Here is a 20,081-nt window from a genome sequence, read left to right on the forward strand (position 1 = left end):
ACAATCTGGAAAAGATTAAATAAAAGGTTTAAAGCACATTTTTCAGTTCAAAAATAGGTTATTATTTTCAATGCTCATGGCACTTACAATTCCTTAGAAATATTCTGTCCCTTTTTATGTTACAAGTGTGTGGGAGATGGCTGTTTCACATAAGAATAAGCCTGGTTCAGGCCCTGTTATGAAGTGTTTCTCAGTCAGAGAACCCAAATCCACAAAATCCCACTAATCCTAATCACCCAGCTAATCCCTTTGAGAAGAGAGTGGAGACAGGGTGGAAGGTGAAGGTGCTGCTCAGGGTATCAGTTACACTTTCTGTGTTTCCAGAAATGTGGCCTCCTCCAGGAGAAAGAATTTACTGGGCCTCTGGGTGTGGAAGGGAAACTGGGTGGGATAGGGTGGGGCAAAGCAATGGGTGCTCAACCCAAACCCTTGTAGAATCTATTCCAAAATCTTCAAATTAAAGAGGACCAAAGAGAAAGGCTGTCATGATTGACATGAAGTCATCTGAGAAGAGTGCCTATTCAGGGCAGCAAGACGGAGGGGCAGGGGCTTGGGTTGTGTTGGAGGGAGTAGAGGGTTTGCTGCTTTGTGAGCTTGACCTCAGGCAGAGGACAATTGCTACATCCATATGTTCAGGCATACTATGGTCCCACCAGTATCTGCAGGGGTTCTTTTAATTCAGTATGTTGTGATGCTAACAAAAGGGCTAGTTAGGAAGGGCCTGCCCAGTGGGATGAAGGATGTTGTCTAGGTGGTTGCTACAGTTACTGGAGCACAGGTTGAGACAGGCGTGGTGAGAGTTGGAGCTGGGCAGGCTGGTAAGGCATGATCAGGAAGGGCCTCCAGGGCCATGTTTTGGAGTTGAGACTTCAGTCCAACAATGAATTCTATGGGACCTTCTTCCAGGAGGTTTTTTTCCTATGGTTCTTGAGCAAATGCCTTGTGCACAATCTCTCCCAATACACATTCTAGCTTACACCCTGTTGGTCAATAGGAAACTGTTGAGGAAGGTTAACAATGGAGTAAAAATGTCCTATTTTGGACAGACAAACCTGGTGTTCCACGAGGGTCCAGTTGGAATTAAAGAGAAGGGGAAAGACCCAGCATCCTCCAGGTGGCTTTGGCCATCATCTGAGTGACAATACTGGAGGACCTTAGCTAGCACGGGTGAATGGGGAGAGATTTAGAAAGCAAAATTGGTAGAGGTTCAGCAGAGAAATAAATATGTACATGTAGCAGAGAGATATGGACTGGGAGAAGACATCTGGCAAATATAGAAAGCTGTAACATCAAAACTGTGAAAAGACTGACATTCATTAAACATGAAGTGTGGAGAAAGAAGAAAACACACAAATGCTAAGGAGAATAAAATGCCAAAGAACAAAGGGAGATGAGCCCTTGTTGAAAAGTGAGAATGAAGCAGAGGTAGAGGAAAGTCAGAGAAGGATAAAGAATCAGGAGAAATGGGAGGAAAGGGTTTCACCAAGGGAGATGGCAAAATGTCACTATAAGCAGCCTGCTAGAGCAAGCCTCTCTTCCAGACCACAGTTATCCTTCCTTACAACTTCTCCCTTTTCAAGCCGCTGGCTGAGAGTTTTGGTTACTTCTGTGGATTTCTTCTATCAGATATGCTGCCTCCTGGCCTGCATCACCTCGGTCCTTATCAATGGGATTGGTAATGTATTGTTCCTCTCATCTCTTGTTTTGGGTGGACATCTCTATTCCACTTCCTAGATATGGCCAGTATCCTTTCTCCTTCCCACACCCATCACTTTGCAGTCAATATCTAAGATGGATAAGGCCCATTATTCTGAGAACATCTATCATTTGTTTAATGAGCCTTGTCTGAGCCATTTACTCTCTGGGTCTAAAAAATATGTTGGAAAGGAGGAAAATGCAGCCACTACTGCTCAGAGGTGACTTCACTACCACCCAATGGACTGCTTAGGAGTAGGTTGGCAGGTACCAGAGGCACTGGCCCTACACTCTGCTCTGGAAGATTGAAGCCAGAGAGCAGAATCTCCCAGGTTCACTTTTGGCAGCAAGTAAACGGTGTCATGTGACAGGTTTTCCAGGAAGTTTGCATGGGTCACTTTACATTGTTGTCTCCTAGCAATAGATTGATGGTGGTCACACTTTCTGTGTATCTAGATTATGCCCTCTTGGGTGTGATGTGTGTCTCCTGGCAGTGACATACAGAGGAGTTTTCCCACTTCTCCAAGGAATAGAGAGTCACTGAGACCATTTGACATCTGGAGTGGAGCAAAGGAACTTTGCAAGCCTCGTTCAAGAGAAGGGTGAGGGAGCTTGTATGTCCAACCTTTTTATCCTCTCTGGACCACTTCTTTGCATCTGTGCTGCATTTTCTGATCCAGCAATGTTCTCTTTGAAGATGAGATAGGAGTAGGGACCCATGCTCCTTGCTGCCAGCACTTGACCCAGCTGGCACAGGTAGAGCAGGACTAGTCTCAAGTAGGAAAGCTGGTTCCATATTGTGGTGAGACTAGGGGAGTGGCAGAAAGTGCTTTAGCCTCACATCTACCCTAGCTAAGCTCTGGAATGCTCTCCACTTTTAAGCGATGCAAGGGACAAAAGACGTTTCTCTTAGGATGGCTATCTCCTCTGGCCAGCTCCGAATGCCTATCCCTCATGATGGTTACATCCAGGTAAGGTATGGAGAGGAAAACACAGTCTCAGAGTTTAAAGTGAGGTTTCATTATTGGTAATGATTTCAGGACTCTCAGTAGGAAGAGGAAAGTGAAACATGTGGTTCTAGATTTCAAACTTCCAACTAACTATCAGGGTTTGTGAAGTTTCTGGGATTTTTATTCTAATTGCAACCTGATATATTAACCTGTTATTGCTTCACGAATGCTGGCAGAAGACATGATAGTCCTGTGTCAGAAACAAAGGACTTTATCACTCATGGCGAAGCAAGCAGCATTAGCTTCACTCTGGTTTGCACTGGTTTCTCTTTCTCTCCAAGTTTTATGGGCCGACACATGTGGGTCTACATGATGCCTGTCTATGAAGTGGGTTGGGTGACAGCAACAGGACCTGGAGCCTGGAGAACTTATTGCATTTGCATAGAGCAACAAGCAAGCATGATCTGTGTCTGGGGGATGGGGGTTGGTGGCACTGTTACATCATCCTTCATTGATGCTGGACAAACACAGTCCTGAGAAAGGGGCCAGGATTCTTGGCACACCAAGCAAAAACAGGCAGGAATGCTAAGGCACCATGGTAGGTTGCCTTTGTGACAATGACTCTCTGAAAAGGATGCTGTTAGCTTGCTTTTTAAAGAAATCATGTTATTTTTTCAATTAAACATTTAATATCTATAACAATGTTATAGCATTGGTTGAGGGTAGTAAATCAGGAAAGATCTATTTTTAGTTGAGATGTGTAACGTATTAGTGTATGTGACATGAAGTTATATGGATTATATGGAGACAGTTTACTCTGCAGGTGTTCTAATGCTTATGCAAAATCCTGAATGTGGCATCTTGGGGGATTTCCAGTGGTCCTGTATCTGACATGTTATTCTCCAATATACTGCAGTTGTAACATTTGTTCTTAATGCACAGATAGATTAATCTCCCTGCTTCCACTCTTCATTTGCTCATGAAGTATAGCTCTAGTCACCTTCATCCACTCCCTTTCCTTGGACACAGCAACACGTGTATGATCAAAGATCTTTTCACAAATACAGTATCCCTCTTCTGTGATGGTTTACAATAATCAATAGCATAGATATTTTCTAGGTCTGTGCATAAGTGGATATGCCTGCCACTGTATATATAGGACCTAGAGGATACAACCTGATAGAACATAAAAGAATCTAATTCTTAGCATGATAACTGTATTCTTACTGCTCCTACAAATGGACTAACTGAGTCATTCTCTTACCATTGTGGAGTTTGCCTACAACAATTCACCACCCTTCTTGAGGTAAAACACACTGTACCTTTGCAACTATGGCTTCTCTGTCACTGGCTCCTTTCACTGCTGACTGCGTCCACCATCCTCGCTTCCAGCAGTAGCAGGAGGAGTTGTGGACTTTCCAAGAGGATCTGTGATATATTTTTGGCCATGCCAATAGGCTGAGCAAGTTTTGATGACCAAGGCTTGGTTCCAGTGAAAGCTAGGGCAGCCCTATTAGTTAATACTACAATAATAATGAAGGACCAATAAAAATAGAATCATGAAAATCTACCCATAGTCACCATAAGAGTGCTCCGGAATGTTCCAGAATGGCCTTCCAGCAGGTGATCCCAAGAGGTCTCCAGGTGAGACCCTTGGATTTTCTGGTCCTTACACTGGCAGGTCATGCAGCACTGGGCTAAAAATGCAGTAAAGCAAACTGTGCACAGGACAAGAGGTAAGGCCAAGTGACCATTTCACACCTCTCCTCTCCTCCTTACTCCTTCCCCTTTTAATGTTCTTCACTTGCTTACTGTCACACCCCGGGTTTCCAGAACACTAACTCTTCTCCCACTTCACTTTCCCTCATAGGTTTATCCATTCTCTGGATTCCCTGTAGGATTGTTTGCTCAGTGGCTGTCATCTCTGCCTTCAACCCTCACTGCTCACCTGGTTCTTCTATATCTCGGTATGTAACCATGGTGGGTGGGGAAGCAGTTTTGTTAATTAGAGAAGTAGAGATACTCTCCTCTGGGTTTCAGGAAGTAGGAGAAATTGCTTCCAGGTAGAGGTCAGGGAAATACTTGTGCAGGAGAAAGCATCTGCCTGGAATCTTGCAGACAGTGTGCATTTCCAACTAGGAAGACATCAAGAGGGGCTGTGCAACAACAGAAAGACCCACAGGCAGTTCACTGAGGGCATCCTGAGCAAGGGTGAGAAGCTGAGTTTAAACGAAACAGAACACACATATGTGCTAGTGATTGCTGAATTCTCAGATGTTGCTTTTCTGATAATTGTACATATAATTTCCCCTCTTTCTTTTTCACTTTCCAAGTGTTTTTTTTTCTTTTCAAAGCTGCAATGTTGGTTGCCACTCTGAAAACTCAGTGTTATCTGGAGAAGCATATGCATTTTATAGTCCCCATCCCTTGACTCTTCCTTAACAATCTCATCTTTGTGGTTTCTCCAGTAAATTTATCTGAACAGCAGCACATTATTTTCTATTTATCCTGGATCATTTAAAAATTTTCTCAAAGGGATTTCTTCAAAGTTTACTAGTTTCTTTCTCTTGCTGTTTGCCCATATTCTTGGAAGCATCACAGCATTAATGATTCTGTGATTGCTGGACCGTAGAAACTTGGCCCTTGCATATTTGCTTTCATCATTCTTTGTTTATTAGGAGGAAATCCAGGAAATAAATCAAGAAATTAGAGCATTCTCTGGAGTTTTACTGCGGCTCAGCACTCCTTAAAAAATATGTCCTGCTGTTCATTTATTCCAAAGTGTACTTGATGATTCTCTGGGAATTCGCTGTCCATCACATGTTAGAACATTGCACCATTCAAAAATTCATCGCTTAGGGACATAAACTCATTGGGGAGAGTTTCTTCAGCTGTTTTTCTCATTAGTCTTTAACTTTCCAGAAACTGCCTCAGAGAAAGCTTTAAATGCTCGCTATTTAAACTACAAATATACAGCAGTGATCTTCCCATTTTGTCAAAAACTTCCAATGGCTGCTGATGGAATTGGGTCTGCAATAAGAAGAAGAGTGAAAGAGATGGATCAGAAAACATTAGACTGCAGAATTTAAAGCATATATTTGAACATACTGTCTGAATGAAAAGGGATTAAGCCATAAAGTTGAAAACATTTATGTTGTATAGCAAGCAGCCCTTCTTTCCAAGCAGAGACTTGGTCATGCCATTAGTTTTTCCATCAAAATTTCTTGAATTAAATATCTAAGAAACATCAATTGAGTGGCTACAGTGTGCCAAGTATCTAAAACACAAACAATGTAAGCAGAGTCTCTGGCTCCAAGCATATTACAAATTGTACTGTAATAGCGAGATTTAGCAAATGATTTTGATAATGAGCCAAATAAAGATATATGCCCAGATGTTTCCACCAGTGGAGGACCTCTCCATGCCTAGGCACAGGCTACGATTAACATGCTTATCGCAGTGGGGTTGATTCCAGGAAGCAGCACCCAGATGGGAAAATGTAGCCAAGAGCAATCAGGGTCAATGAAAGGATGGTGAGTGGCCAAGAGATTGGAGAAAGTGTGAGCTATCATCAAAGTGGCACAGAACAGCCCTTGCGAAGATACAACAGGAGGAATTCAGGTTCTCATAGCATCTTTTTCTGTGTTGGGCCACCTTTCATTATATGTGCTGGGGGCAGTTAGAAAGTAAATTGCAAAATGGAGTTGGGTAAGATGTTCAGCTCTGTCTAGGGAAGCAGTGAAGGCACCATAGGATGAATTGAATTCTGAAGGATGAGTCATAGACCAATGCTGTTTTATTTTGTTTGAAATGAAGCTGTCATCAAAATATGTATTAGATAATCAAAATATGTCTTAGAGATTTTCCTTCTAAGAATTTTTATGTGCATGTGTGTGTGTATATGTTTGTGTGTGTGTATATATAAATATATATTTACATATACATGTGTCTATAAAAGGGAATATATATATAAGAGAAAAAATATATTTCTCATTTTCTGAAAAATAAGTCTATATTGAAATGTTTTTCGTTTATATAGTTAAACTATATTTATATCAAATATACAATGAATTAAAGAAAATTTGTGTTTTGGTTAATCTAATTGGTTGAGAACATTGCTCTGTTTCTGATTGTATTATTCTGTTTTCTACAGAAAAAAATAATTCTTTTGGGTTCAAATAAAGGGACTTTAAGAAAGAGAACAGTTACAGAGGTGAGGTCTTTGTTAAAAACAAGGGTACTCAGAGATGAGCCACAGCAGCTGGAGAAAACTGGTATGACTTGTAATGCCTGCGAGATGTTGGGGGAGGGGATAGGAGATGCTTTTTGAGAACAGTGATCAGGTAGAGAGATGGAGGAAAAGATAACTGAGAAGGTGTGGTGCCAAACCAGAATACCAGAATATACCTCTGAACAAAATATATTTGTATTAGTGATATGGTTTGGCTGTGTCCCCACCCAAATCTCATCTTGAATGGTAACTCCCATAATTATCTCCTGTTGTGGGAGAGACCCAGTGGGAGATAACTGAATCACGGGGCGGTTTACCCCATACTATTCTCATGGTAGCAAATAAGTCTCATGAGAGCTGATGGTTTTATAAGGGGAAACCCCTTTCGCTTGGCTCTCACTCTTCTCTTGTCTGCTTCCACGTGAGATGTGCCTTTCACTTTCTGCCAAGATTTTGAGGCCTCCCCAGCCACGCAGAACTGTGAAGCTATTAAACCTCTTTCTTTGTAAATTGCCCAGTTTCAGGCATGTCTTTATAAGCAATGTGAAAACAGACTAATACAATTGGGTTATCTGTAATTTGTTAGCCTGGGTACAATTCTACAAGAGTAAAAAAAGCCATTCCATTCAGAGAAGAAGCCTGTATGAAGGCAAGAAGACAAGAAAATGCACGGTGACCTGGAGACCACCTCAGTGGACTTCAGGTGATGGAGGGAAAAAGAAGCTGAGTCTGCAGGGGAAGATTTTGGGAGAATGCAGGCTTTGTGCCACGGTTAATGAGACCTACAATTAGCATTAATCTTCACTAGCCTACATCTTAGAAAATATCTTCCAAATTGTGTGTGAGACTCTGTCAAAGACAATTAAATTGGACTTAACTTGTTAACTAGTTAATGGGACAAGTTCTAGTTACTTCAGATTCTGTCTCAGGAAATAGAAATGGAATTGAAACTTTGTGAATGACTTTTATATCACCATCTCTCTGGCATGTTTTGAAAATTGTTTGAATAATTCAGAAAGAATTTTCTGAATCTTACTATATGCTAGGCTCTGTGATACATGATATACATCTGATTTCACATTTTAACCTTAGGCATAAGATGGATACAAATGCTAGGAACTGAACTAGAACAGTGAAAAAATGAATAGAGTCCCTACCTTCATGGAGTTTATAATTCAGAAAGAACCACTGAGAATTTGAAGTGTTTATGAGCACATGACATTTTTGAAGGACACCTGGCAGGTGTTATATGTGAAGCAGATTCATGGTGCGCCAGTTACCAGTCCTAGGGGAGGGCTCCCACTGCGTGGAAAACAGCAGAAATCATTATGAAGTCAATCATGAGGAACAGGAGTCCAAACGCTTTCATCCACTGCATTTTGAGCTGCAATTTCTACAACTTGCACAAGTCTGGTGAGAGAGAATTTATACAAGTGAAGCAACTTTATTGCTCACAGACATGCTGCAAGAGACAGTAGAAGCCATGGTGAGCCAATCTCTCAAAGCTCAGGAAAGCCTCGTAGGATAGATGGAGTCTCACCTGCATGTTCCCTACATTATACCATAGCTGAGGAATCCAAAAAGCATTCTGCACTGGGGTTTATACCCCAGGAAAAACTGGGATCGCTGGGCTAAAGCATTGTGGGACATTCTATTCTAGGAGATATAGGAACAGAGCTCAGGCTATTCCAGCCAGTTCCTCCTTATCTCAGAATGTTGCATTCTCAGCATGTCCCACAGTTATTCTGACATTTACAAGGGAAAACTGAGGAAGAGCTGGGTCAGCCAAGGCTATCTTGGGATGTCCTGCACTATGAGAAAAAGTGGAGCTTCATCTATAGGTGATAATTCAAGGCTCCCCGGAGGGAGAATTATAAAAGCTGAGACTTGAATGTGGAAGATTCAGCCATGAAAGAAAGTGCTGAAGGTGGGCATGTCAGTGCAGAGAGCCCCATTTCAAGCAGGGAAACAGCGAGAGAGTGGGGCCCATTCGAGACACTTAAGATCATTATGTTTAAAGTAGTGGCTGCAAGAGAGAAAGCTAGGTTGCCTTGTGCAGGATCTAACCATAAATGTGGTTTGCAACACACTGACCCTGAAAGATAAAGTTATGTGTAATGCTAAGTTAGTTGACACAAACCCAGAAACGCATTCCACCCCTGGTGCTATGAGAGACATCCAGTAGTTAGAAGCTGAATGAGGACACTGTCATTACTTTGTAAAGGCTATTATTTCTGGTGTACCTATCCAGGCTGTCAACGTAAAATTCTATATATTCAAAGTTAATACATATCCGTCTCTCTTCACTTGGATGTGAAACTGCTGGTGGAGCTAGCAAAGAATTTGCAAGTTTAGTCAAGTCTGACTGACACTCCCAAGGGCAATGAGGCATTTGCCCCTGATTTAGGTGACCAGGCTGGTACTCCTATCCAGGGTCCCTTCATTTCTCAACAGATATTTATTGGGCACTTGCCATGTGCGGGGTCTTGTACTCAGAACTGGATTGATTAAGTTATAGCTCTCAAGGCAGCCACAGTCTATTAGGAAAGCAGAGAAGATTATACATCAGAGATAATACCACATGATAATGCTTCACAAAAGGAAAGTACAATATCCTAAGGGAAAAGAGGCTACCTGAGGAATCTGAGTTAATTCATTTGAGTCACCTTCAAGGAATAAACAGGAGATTTATAAAAGCAAACTGCCATGGCTGAAATTTCAATTCACTTGGCAATTTGGAATTTATGTTAGACTCAAAGGTGTTTAGTGCCTCCCGCCACCCCCACAAAAAAGTGTCCAAATATATTCCAAAAACTTACTAGAATATTTGCATTGAAAATAATGTTTATGGTTGGATATAAGGATGTTAACCAAATACACTTACAGCACTGATTTTTTAGACAAGTGTCAGACTTTAAGCAAGAAGTATTAGGATATCTACAGAAATAGCTGAAAGGGAGTTCTTAATTAAGCCCATCATTTTTGACTGTATTAACTGTAGGGAGACAAACAGAAGGGTTGTCCAGTGGTTCTCCACTTATTGAAATCTCTCTGGAACTTTCATCAAAGAGAAGTATTAAATGCATTCAGATGTTTGAAATGGGATTTTTTTCAACAGCTCAATGGATTCTGATATTTTCTCAGATAGATTGAGCCAGTTGAAGACTAAGCTGGAGAAGCCTTCAGCCAGTGAGATTCTGCTCCTTCCCCCCCATATGAAAAAAGGGTTATTACGGCTTCAGAGGATTGAATTCTAGATATTTTGGTAATTGCTAAGAAGCGTAGAAGTAAGCTCTCCTGTCATAAAAATATTAAAAACCAATGCAGTTTAAATTGTCAAAACAAAACAATCCCTTTATGTATAGGTACCACAGATGGATGGATGATGCAATGTGAATGATAAATGACCGTAAGCTCTTTAAGCAAATGCTAACCTCTAGCTGGGATGTTATAGGAGTCCCATTCAGAAACGGACTTTGCATTGAGCTAGCCATGAAACCTTACACTTGATTTAGTCTGTGATACTGCCACAGTTTGATCTTTGCCTTCAATGACTGATTCCTTGTAAGAAATAAAGCTGCAGAACCAAATGCACACTCTCTCTATAGCCACTTGAGACAGCAACATTTGCAGCCTACTTGGTATAATTGCAGATTTAAAATTACATTAGAATATTTTCTCTTTTCTGTTCCCTTTTTTTCTGAACAATTCAGATCAAAAGTTGCTAGGTGGGTCTGAGCAAGGTTATTTTCTGCCGTGGGTGGCAGGGTCCTGGCTTAGGTTATCAGAGACCCAGCTGTGTGGAGACTGTCAGTGGGTTGGGGAAGGAGGTGACAGCTCAGCATGGGTTATTGGAGCTCTACTGGAATAAATAGAATGTCTGAGGGGCATGAGTGATAACAAGAAATTGGTTCCATACAAAGGAATCCATTAAACAGGTAATGATATGAGGATATTGAGAGACAGACTCTCACTGTCAGAGAAGAAAGTTAAGTATCCTAAAAGGGAGAAAATTAGAATGAACCTTATTGCATTTGGATATAACTGTATAAACTAATTTCCAAATATCTATAAATAAAAATAAATATGTCTATATTTAAAAGTAAATATAGACGTAAATGTGCATATAAAAACATATATGCATGTACATTCCCTAGTGAAATTCACTGAAAAAGGCTGCTGAACATCAACACACACATTTTGGATTTTAAAGATCATTTCACATCTCTAACAGGCACCAGGGCTCTTGGAAGAAATAGCTGATTCCAGGGCAGGGGCAGAGAAAGTACAAGATAAGCCTGGAACTTCTTTGTTTTCACAAAAATGTAAAGAAAAGCACAAAAAATGATAATGATTGATAAATTAGGCTCCTCTGGCCAAATATGAGACAATTTAAGCACCGTATTAGTGATCGTAATCTATTATAATTTGTTGAATAAAATGATGAGCCATGAGTCGATATTAACATAATTTTTTCAAATGAGTGAATAAATGAAAAATTTGATGAGGAAAAGGATATTCAAATAGTTTCAAAGTTCTTCCCAATAAAAAAATAAGTTATAAAGGAGAAAATAGTAACATTACAGTGGAGAAGACTGACAGACACCATCTTAATCAAGCAATCAAAATGAATATCATCAAGAAAGGGGTGAATCAACATCATATGTTACCTTATAGGATATAATGAGAAAAAGTAGCATTGTTTTTGTGATATTCCTTATGAATCTAATAATAAGGAAATGTCCAAATTGAAAGACATTTTACAAATAACTTGCCTTCATCTTTCAAAAGGCTCAAAAGCATGAAAGATATGAAACATCTGAGGAGCTGTAACTAATGGAAGCATAGTAAAGATATGCAATAAGTGATTAAGTATTGGATCTCTTGCTTGCTATATATTGGACAATTGGTGAAATTTGAGTGAGGTCTAAGGTGTAGATGGTAGTTATGTGTCAATGTAATTTCCTGATATTGATGTCTGTACTGTGTATACATAGGAACATGTCTTTGTAGGACATACAGGACATACACACTAGGAGTTATACTCCAATGGCTTATAAAAAAAGAATTGTACTGTTTTTGCAATTTTTTATGGAACTTTGAGGTTGTTTTATATGTATATACATAAATAAATTTATATATATAAATAATATATAAAAATCAATTTATATATATACAACTATAGTAGAGAAAGATTAAGTTTAATGAGTGCAAGACAGCCAAGTGGGAGAACTGGTGTTATCACTTAAACTGGTCTCACTGAAGGCTTGAAGGTTAGAGTTTTTCAAGTATAGTTTGGTGGCCAGGGGATTAGAGGATAGGTGCTGCTGATTGTTTGGGATGAAATCATAGGGGTGTGGAAAGCAGTCTTCTTACATTGAGTCCACTCCTGGATTGGGGACCACAGGACTGGTTGAGTCATGAGTCACAAGTTCAGATGGGGTCAGTGTGAAAACCATCTCAAAAGACCAATCTTAGCTTCCACAATAGTGATGTTTTCAGCAGGAGCAATTGAGGAAGTCACAAATGTTGTGACCTCTTCCCACGTGACTCCTGAGCAGTAAGAGATTACAGAAACTATGCCTACTTTTTAGCAGAATGTAGGCCTCTCCAATAATTCTAATCTTGTGGCCTTTCATTAGTCTAACAATGGCAGTTTCAGCCCCCCAACAAAGAGGGAATCCATTTTAGGGAGAGACCATTATCCTTGCTTCTAAATTAAACTATAATTTCCTCCCATGGTTAGCTTGGCCTATGCTCAGGAATGAGTGAGGAGAGCCAGCCTGTGAGGCTAGAAGCAAGGGGGAGTCAGTCATGTTAGACTTCTCTCACTGTCATAATATTTGCAAAGCTGGTTTCAGTCTCTGCCTTAGGCTTCAGTATACCTAAATTCTGAGGTGTGAGCTGCAGAGATGAGAAACAGCCAGTGACCAATCTAACTTCTTCCTACTGAAAGAGGACAGGGTTTGGGTAGGGGTCACCCACAGTATAAGAGGAATGAAACAATTTTGCAGTTGTCTGTATGTATTTATGGGTGCCTGGTTTGGGTCTCAAGGTCTGTATAACAAAAACATTAGTATTCATATTTACAGTTTTAGTACAGCACTTAAGAGAACAGCAGACTAAAAAACAAATAATGAGCCCTAACAAAGAGAGTGAGGGTCTTTGCTTCAGGAGTCCCTGCAGAACTGACCTGAAAATTTGAGTGATGCCGCTGAATGACCTTGAAAACAAATCAGATTTGAGGTCACCAGTAGAGACTCAAAAACAATAGACCGAGTTGGAATCCAACAACAGGTATAATATAGTTTTTTACTTGAGACATAATTTTTCTCTCTCCAGTTCCCTATTTTTACCAAAGACAAATCACAGCAGCACCAATTTATTTGCAAAACAAGTTTCAGTTCCATTATATTTGTCCTAATTATTTGCATAAAATGAATTATTTTCATAAGGAATTTGAGATTTAACCTTTTAAAAGCCTCTTGAGCCCAGCCAAGGATTTATCTGTGCCTACAGATACCTGTACAAATTGGGTGAATTCCTGTCTTCTTGAAGTCTCAAAATAGCTTAGGGTTTCTGGGCTTGTCAGAAAGTGACATTCTTTACTTGCCACAGATCAGGAACCCTGCACAGGACAAGATATGAGGCCAGTTTCTCCAAGGGGCTTTTATTGGCTCTATAAATCAACCTCCGTTCCACAAAGCAGTCTGAAAACATGTCATTCCAGTAAAAATCTTGGTAAAAATAACCAGTGTCTCTAATTGTGTTCTGCTATAAAAGCTAATACCTATATTGCCATAAATTAAGAATATTCACCAATAGTAAAGTATACTCCTGTGAGCAAAATTTGGAGCACATTTCTCTCTACCTGATTTCTCCAGAATTTGGAAACTATTGGTTGTAAGAATCAAAACCAAAGTAATCAGCAACATTTTGAGTAAAAACTCATGCTATTAACTCCTGCTCTACTTGATATTGGGCCAGCAATCCTTACAAACACATCAGCTCTCCATGAGAGTCCTCAAAGTTATTGTTCTCTATTTCAATGACACAATTTTTAAAGTTATCAGGAGCCCATCAGAGCACCCAACAGAGTCTGATAGCTAGTTATAAAACCAACTTTTGAAAAGAATTAAAGTAAAACAAAAAATACATTTTTAAAATTAAAAATTAGATGACACCTTTGTATAAATACTTAAACGTTCTGAAAATTTTCATGTATTCAAAGATAAGGAAATAGGGAATATCAAACTTTTTGTAACATAAAAGATTGGAAATATCATTACCATACTGGACAATAAAATCAGTGTAACTATGGCACTGTGAAACAAAGAATTACTTACTTTCTGACTCATGAATCTCAGAGAAAACTTAGGCACTGCTGTGTTCCTCAGAGCTCGGAAGAAGTGTTGCATCACAAAGGATGGGCACGATACTCTGATGGTCCTCACGTGTGCTCCAAAAAGGGGCCTGGTAATGTAGTGAGGCTCTAATGAGACAAATAGGCTGCTTATAAGGTTCTGGAGTGAACTCATATTATAGTAAGCAAGATTTTGGAGAAAGGTTGGATGATAATCCTATGTGAGGTAGAATAAAGAGAACCAGTCCTATGAGAGCCTGTATCTATGTTGTTTCTAATTTTGGTGAAAAGGAGAAAAACCATCTTCAGATTGGAAAAGACAGATCAAACATGAGCAGGAAGGAGTAGGTGAGTTACTTAGGAGACACAGTGGGTATTTGTAGAGGCAAAGACACAAATATTGGCTCTCAAAACTGGCCCAAGTGTTTTTTTCTCCAGGCAGAAATAGGGTCCTTGTAAAACTCTCTGGCATTCTGAGGGATCAGGAAATCTTGCATCAGTGTGAACAGAGGTTCACAAGATGGGTAGGAACTGTTTCAATCTTTAGAAAGGAAGGAGTAGGCCATGGGTTACTCCTCATATTGTAAGTTTGTACTTCAAGACAGCATACTATGCAGTATGCCTGTGGATATGCTGGAGAAATGGACAAATGTGAGCTGATTAACACTAAATGGTTGAAGCCTTATAACACAGATGATAATGCACTGAATTACTGACTTTAGTTTATTGATCTGGGTGATCCAGTAACAAAACTGTAAAGGAGAAATAAGGCTTTGTGCTTGAGCTAGTCCTCTTCAAGATGTTTTCAAAACATGTAAGATTCCTCTGCTCTGCGTGTAAGACTCCACAGTGTGTCAAACAAATTGGCCCTGTGTGAAGACTCCATGGCTTGCAGCCTGCTCACCCTTACAGACTCCATTTTCCACACTTGCTCCCTGAGTGTCCCCAAGTAATCCCTCCTATGATGAACTTTGCCCTTTCATACATCTGAATATTTTCTCTGTATCTCCTCTGTTTGAATGCTTTTTTTCTTCTTTACCTCCTGAATGAAATGCTATAAATGTTTGGGAAGCAGTAGCAAGATAGGTTTTAAAATTAGAAAGACCAATTTTCAAATCTTGCCTCTTTTGCCTGAAAATAGCAGGACAACTGGAGCTGTTACTTAAACTCTCTTGACCTTAGATTTCTTCTCCGTACAATGGATATGGAGGATGTCTCTAATTGAGACAGTTGTTTTTCAGGATCAAATTAGGTAATTAATATAATACTTTTATCACAAGTGCTCATGTAGTAAAGATTAATAAATATTAGCTGCCATATTGTCATTGCTATCATTAGACCCGAGGCTGGATCAGGGTATCATTAATAGTCTGGGCTTTGGCTAGATGTACCAGCTGTGTGACTGTGGTGACTTTATTTAAACTCTCAACGATTCAGTTCTTTTATCTGGAATGTCAGGACAGTAAGGGTTGTTTTGGGAATTAAATGAGATAATGCACATAAAACTGGCATGTGTCAAGCACTTAATAAATGTTAACTATTTTCATTACTAGTTGCATTAGTCAGGCTGCCATAACAAATACCATAGACAGGGGGCCCACACATCAGAAATTTATTTCTCACAATTCTGGAGACTGGAAAGTCCAAGTTCAAGGTGCTGGCAAGGTAGGTTCCATTCTGTATGTGCTTCTTCTTGCTTATATGTTGTTCCCATCCTGCTGCATGTTCACATGACCTCTTCTTTGTGAACACCAGGGAGAAGGAAGAAGTTCTCTGCTGTCTATTCTTATAAGGGCACTAATCCCATCAGACCAATTCCTTACCATATGGCCTCATTCAACCTTTACTTACATAAAGAGCCCTCTCCAAATATAGGCACATTGGGGGTTAGGGCTTCAACATACAAATTTTGGGGAGGACATCAGAATTCATCCTGTAACAGTATTACTATTGTTGCTATTATTTTTTAAGGTCTAACATAAATATCACCTTATATTTTAAGCCTTCTCTTACTTTCTCAGAATTCTTTCCTCTTTGTATTTATGTCTTTATGTATAGAGATGTATTTCATCTTAAAAAAGGTTTAAGTTACTGGCTTCACATACAACTGGCTCACAAGAAACTTCAGTAGAACTTTACTGAAAAAATAATAGAACAAACACATTCATAGGGAATTGATATCATACTTATTATATGTGACTGTAGACAGCTGGAGTAGTTACAGTGGGTGGAAGTTATGTGGATTCTGGGTTAAATACTGAGGAAACTTTCTTACAATTAATGTTGACTGAAATTGAAATAGTTTGCCTCTGTGGTAGCATTACCAATTTATTCAGCTACCTTGTTCTAAATAGACTTGCCCTAGTGACATGTTTGTGGCTGAAAACTACCTGAGTTACCTGGGGCAATGCACTTCCTCTTTATGGGCCTCATGTGTAAAATGAGAAAGTTGGTATAGATCTTTCTCTAAATTGTTTTTCATTTCTTCTTTATTGCCATGGAGATGATTTTTTTTTTTGGTTGTCACGTTCTAGAGTTTTATTTTTTTTCCTAAGAAGTCAAACATGTAGGTGAGTATTCACCTTAATCTTGAGCCCCAAGTTATCTGCTTCTTTTACTCACAACACATTTAGTTAAAAGAGCAGAAACTCACTTGAGCTAGCTTAAGTAAAGGGAGGTTTATTGTAAGGACATAGCAGGCAACCTCATGAGCATCCAATAATAAAAAATAAAAGAATTGGACCTGAAAAGTCAGATTCCAAGGCTATGACTTCTTCCCTGCCTAATGACAGCATTACATTTAAACTCCATTTCTCTCCCCTTGCCTGTTCCATCATCTCTCTTTTGAATTACTAACCTTCTCTGTTTCTTCATGAGTGTGCCCAACCAATGGTGATAACTGCCCACTCAACTCAATCAATAATGACACAACAAAAACAAATTAAGCCAGACTTTAGTCTCTATACCCCTTAATTCAGTTGGTTGAAATGAGAAAACTGATTTTTTCAGAACTAGCCTTGGATGGTGGCCCTTGGGTTGGGCCTCCCTTGTACCAAGTAGTTGTGGTTGGTGGTAAGTGGAAATAGGATCACAACTTCCAGGAACTACAAGTAGGAAAATAAAACTGACTGATAAAATAGCCACAGAGATGGTCTATAAATATGCAAAGAATCCTATAATAAACTGCTGAATTTCAAAGACCTTCAGGGAATGAAATATGAAACATGGTCTAGGGAAAACAGCAAGATTCTCAAGATGCTAGCAGGATAATGTGGACCCACAGAGTGAAGCCATGTTGGTTCCCAGTAAGGCTGACTTGAGAAAGTGTGCTTCTGTTGATATGGCTTTTCCTTTTATTTGTTAAGATATAACATATATATATTATATATAACATATATAATATAACATATATATATTATATATAACATATATAATATAACATATATATATTATATATAACATATATAATATAACATATATATATTATATATAACATATATAATATAACATATATGTTATATATATTTAATATATATAAAGCAAAAAAAGCAGGGGTTGCAATCCGGTGTCTGATAAAACAGAATTTAAACCAACAAAGATCAAAAGAGACAATAATGGTAAAGGGATCAAGGCAACAAGAAGAGGTAACTATCCTAAATATATATGCACCCAATACAGGAGCACCCAGATTCATAAAGCAAGTCCTTACAGACCTACAAAGAGACTTAGACTCCCACACAATAATAATGGGAGATTTTAACACCCCACTGTCAATATTGGACAGATCAATGAGACAGAAGGTTAACAAGGATATCCAGGACTTAAATTCAGCTCTGCACCAAGCAGACCTAATAGACATCTACAGAACTCTCTACCCCAAATCAACAGAATATATATTCTTCTCAGCACCACACCACACCTATTCCAAAATTGACCACGTAATTGGAAGTAAAGCACTCCTCAGCAAATGTAAAAGAACAGAAATCACAACAGACTATCTCTCAGACCACAGTGCAATCCAGTTAGAACTCAAGATTAAGAAACTCACTCAAAACTGCACAACTACATGGAAACTGAACAACCTGCTCCTGAATGACTACTGGGTAAATAATGAAATGAAGGCAGAAATAAAGATATTCTTTGAAACAAATGAGAACAAAGACACAACATACCAGAATCTCTGGGACACATTTAAAGCAGTGTGAAGAGGGAAATTTATAGCACTAAATGCCCACAATAGAAACCAGGAAAGATCTAAAACTGACACCCTAACATTACAATTAAAAGAACTAGAGAAGCAAGAGCAAACACATTCAAAAGCTAGCAGAAGGCAAGAAATAACTACAAGCAGAGCAGAACTGAAGGAGAAAGAGACACGAGAAACCCATCAAAAAATCAATGAATCCAGGAGCTGATTTTTTGAAAAGATCAACAAAATTGATAGACCGCTAGCAAGACTAATAAAGAAGAAAAGAGAGAAGAATCAAATAGATGCAATAAAAAATGATACAGGGGATATCATCACTGATTCCACAGAAATGCAAACTACCATCAGAGAATACTACAAACACCTCTACGCAAATAAACTAGAAAATCTAGAAGAAATGGATAAATTCCTGGACGCATACACCCTCCCAAAACTAAACCAGGAAGAAGTTGAATCTCTGAATAGACCAGTAACAGCTTCTGAAATTGTGGTAATAATTAATAGCCTACCAACCCCAGAATGTCCAGGACCAGAGAGTTTAACAGCCGAAATCTACCAGAGGTACAAAGAGGAGCTGGTACCATTCCTTCTGAAACTATTCCAATCAATAGAAAAAGAGCAACTCCTCCCTAACTCATTTTATGAGGCCAGCATCATCCTGATATCAAAGCATGACAGAGACACAACAAAAAGAGATAATTTTAGACCAATATCCCTGATGAACATCGATGCAAAAATCCTCAATAAAATACTGGCAAACCGAATCCAGCAGCACATCAACAGGCTTATCCACCATGGTTAAGTCAGCTTCATCCCTGGGATGCAAGGCTGGTTCAACATATGCAAATCAATAAACATAACCCATCACATAAACAGAACCAAAGAGAAAAGCCACATGATTATCTCCATAGATGCAGAAAAGGTCTTTGACAAAATTCAACAGTCCTACATGCTAAAAACTCTCAATAAACTAGGTATTAATGGAACACACCTCAAAATAATAAGAGCTATTTATGACAAACCCACAGCCAATATCATACTGAATGGGCAAAAACTGGAAGCATTCTCTTTGAAAACTGGCACAAGACAAGGATACCTTCACTCACCACTCCTATTCAACATAGTGTTGGAAGTTCTGGCCAGGGCAATCAGGAAAGAGGAAGAAATAAAGGGTATTCAATTAGGAAGTGAGGAAGTCAAGTTGTCCCTGATTGCAGATGACATGATTGTATATTTAGAAAACTCCAGCATCTTAGCCCAAAATCTCCTTAAGCTGATAAGCAACATCAGCAAAGTCTCAGGATACAAAAATCAATGTGCAAAAATTATAAGCATTCCTATACACCATTAACAGACAAACAGAGAGCCAAATCACGAGTGAACTCCCATTCACAATTGCTACAAAGAGTACAAAATACCCAGGAATCCAACTTACAAGGGATGTGAAGGACCTTTTCAAGGAGAACTACAAACCACTGCTCAACAAAATAAAAGAGGATACAAACAAATGGAAGAACATTCCTTGCTCATGGATAGGAAGAACCAATATTGGGAAAATGGCCATACTGCCCAAGATAATTTATGGATTCAATGCGATCCCCATCAAGCTATCAATGACTTTCTTTACAGAATTGG

At 39.2% G+C, this 20,081-nt stretch overlaps 1 long non-coding RNA gene across 1 annotated transcript; it reads right to left on the minus strand.

Annotated features, from left to right (window-relative positions):
• Positions 1 to 4,265: 4,265 nt before the first annotated feature.
• LOC105375272 (uncharacterized) lies at positions 4,266 to 14,271 on the minus strand. The gene is made up of 3 exons (XR_927254.1): positions 14,223 to 14,271; positions 8,034 to 8,178; positions 4,266 to 5,675 (listed from the first exon to the last, which is right to left on the minus strand). It is a non-coding gene; the product is annotated as an uncharacterized LOC105375272 (long non-coding RNA).
• Between the last annotated feature and the right edge of the window lie 5,810 nt (positions 14,272 to 20,081).

This window comes from Homo sapiens, chromosome 7 (genome assembly GCF_000001405.40).
Source record: "Homo sapiens chromosome 7, GRCh38.p14 Primary Assembly".
Lineage (NCBI taxonomy): Eukaryota > Metazoa > Chordata > Mammalia > Primates > Hominidae > Homo > Homo sapiens.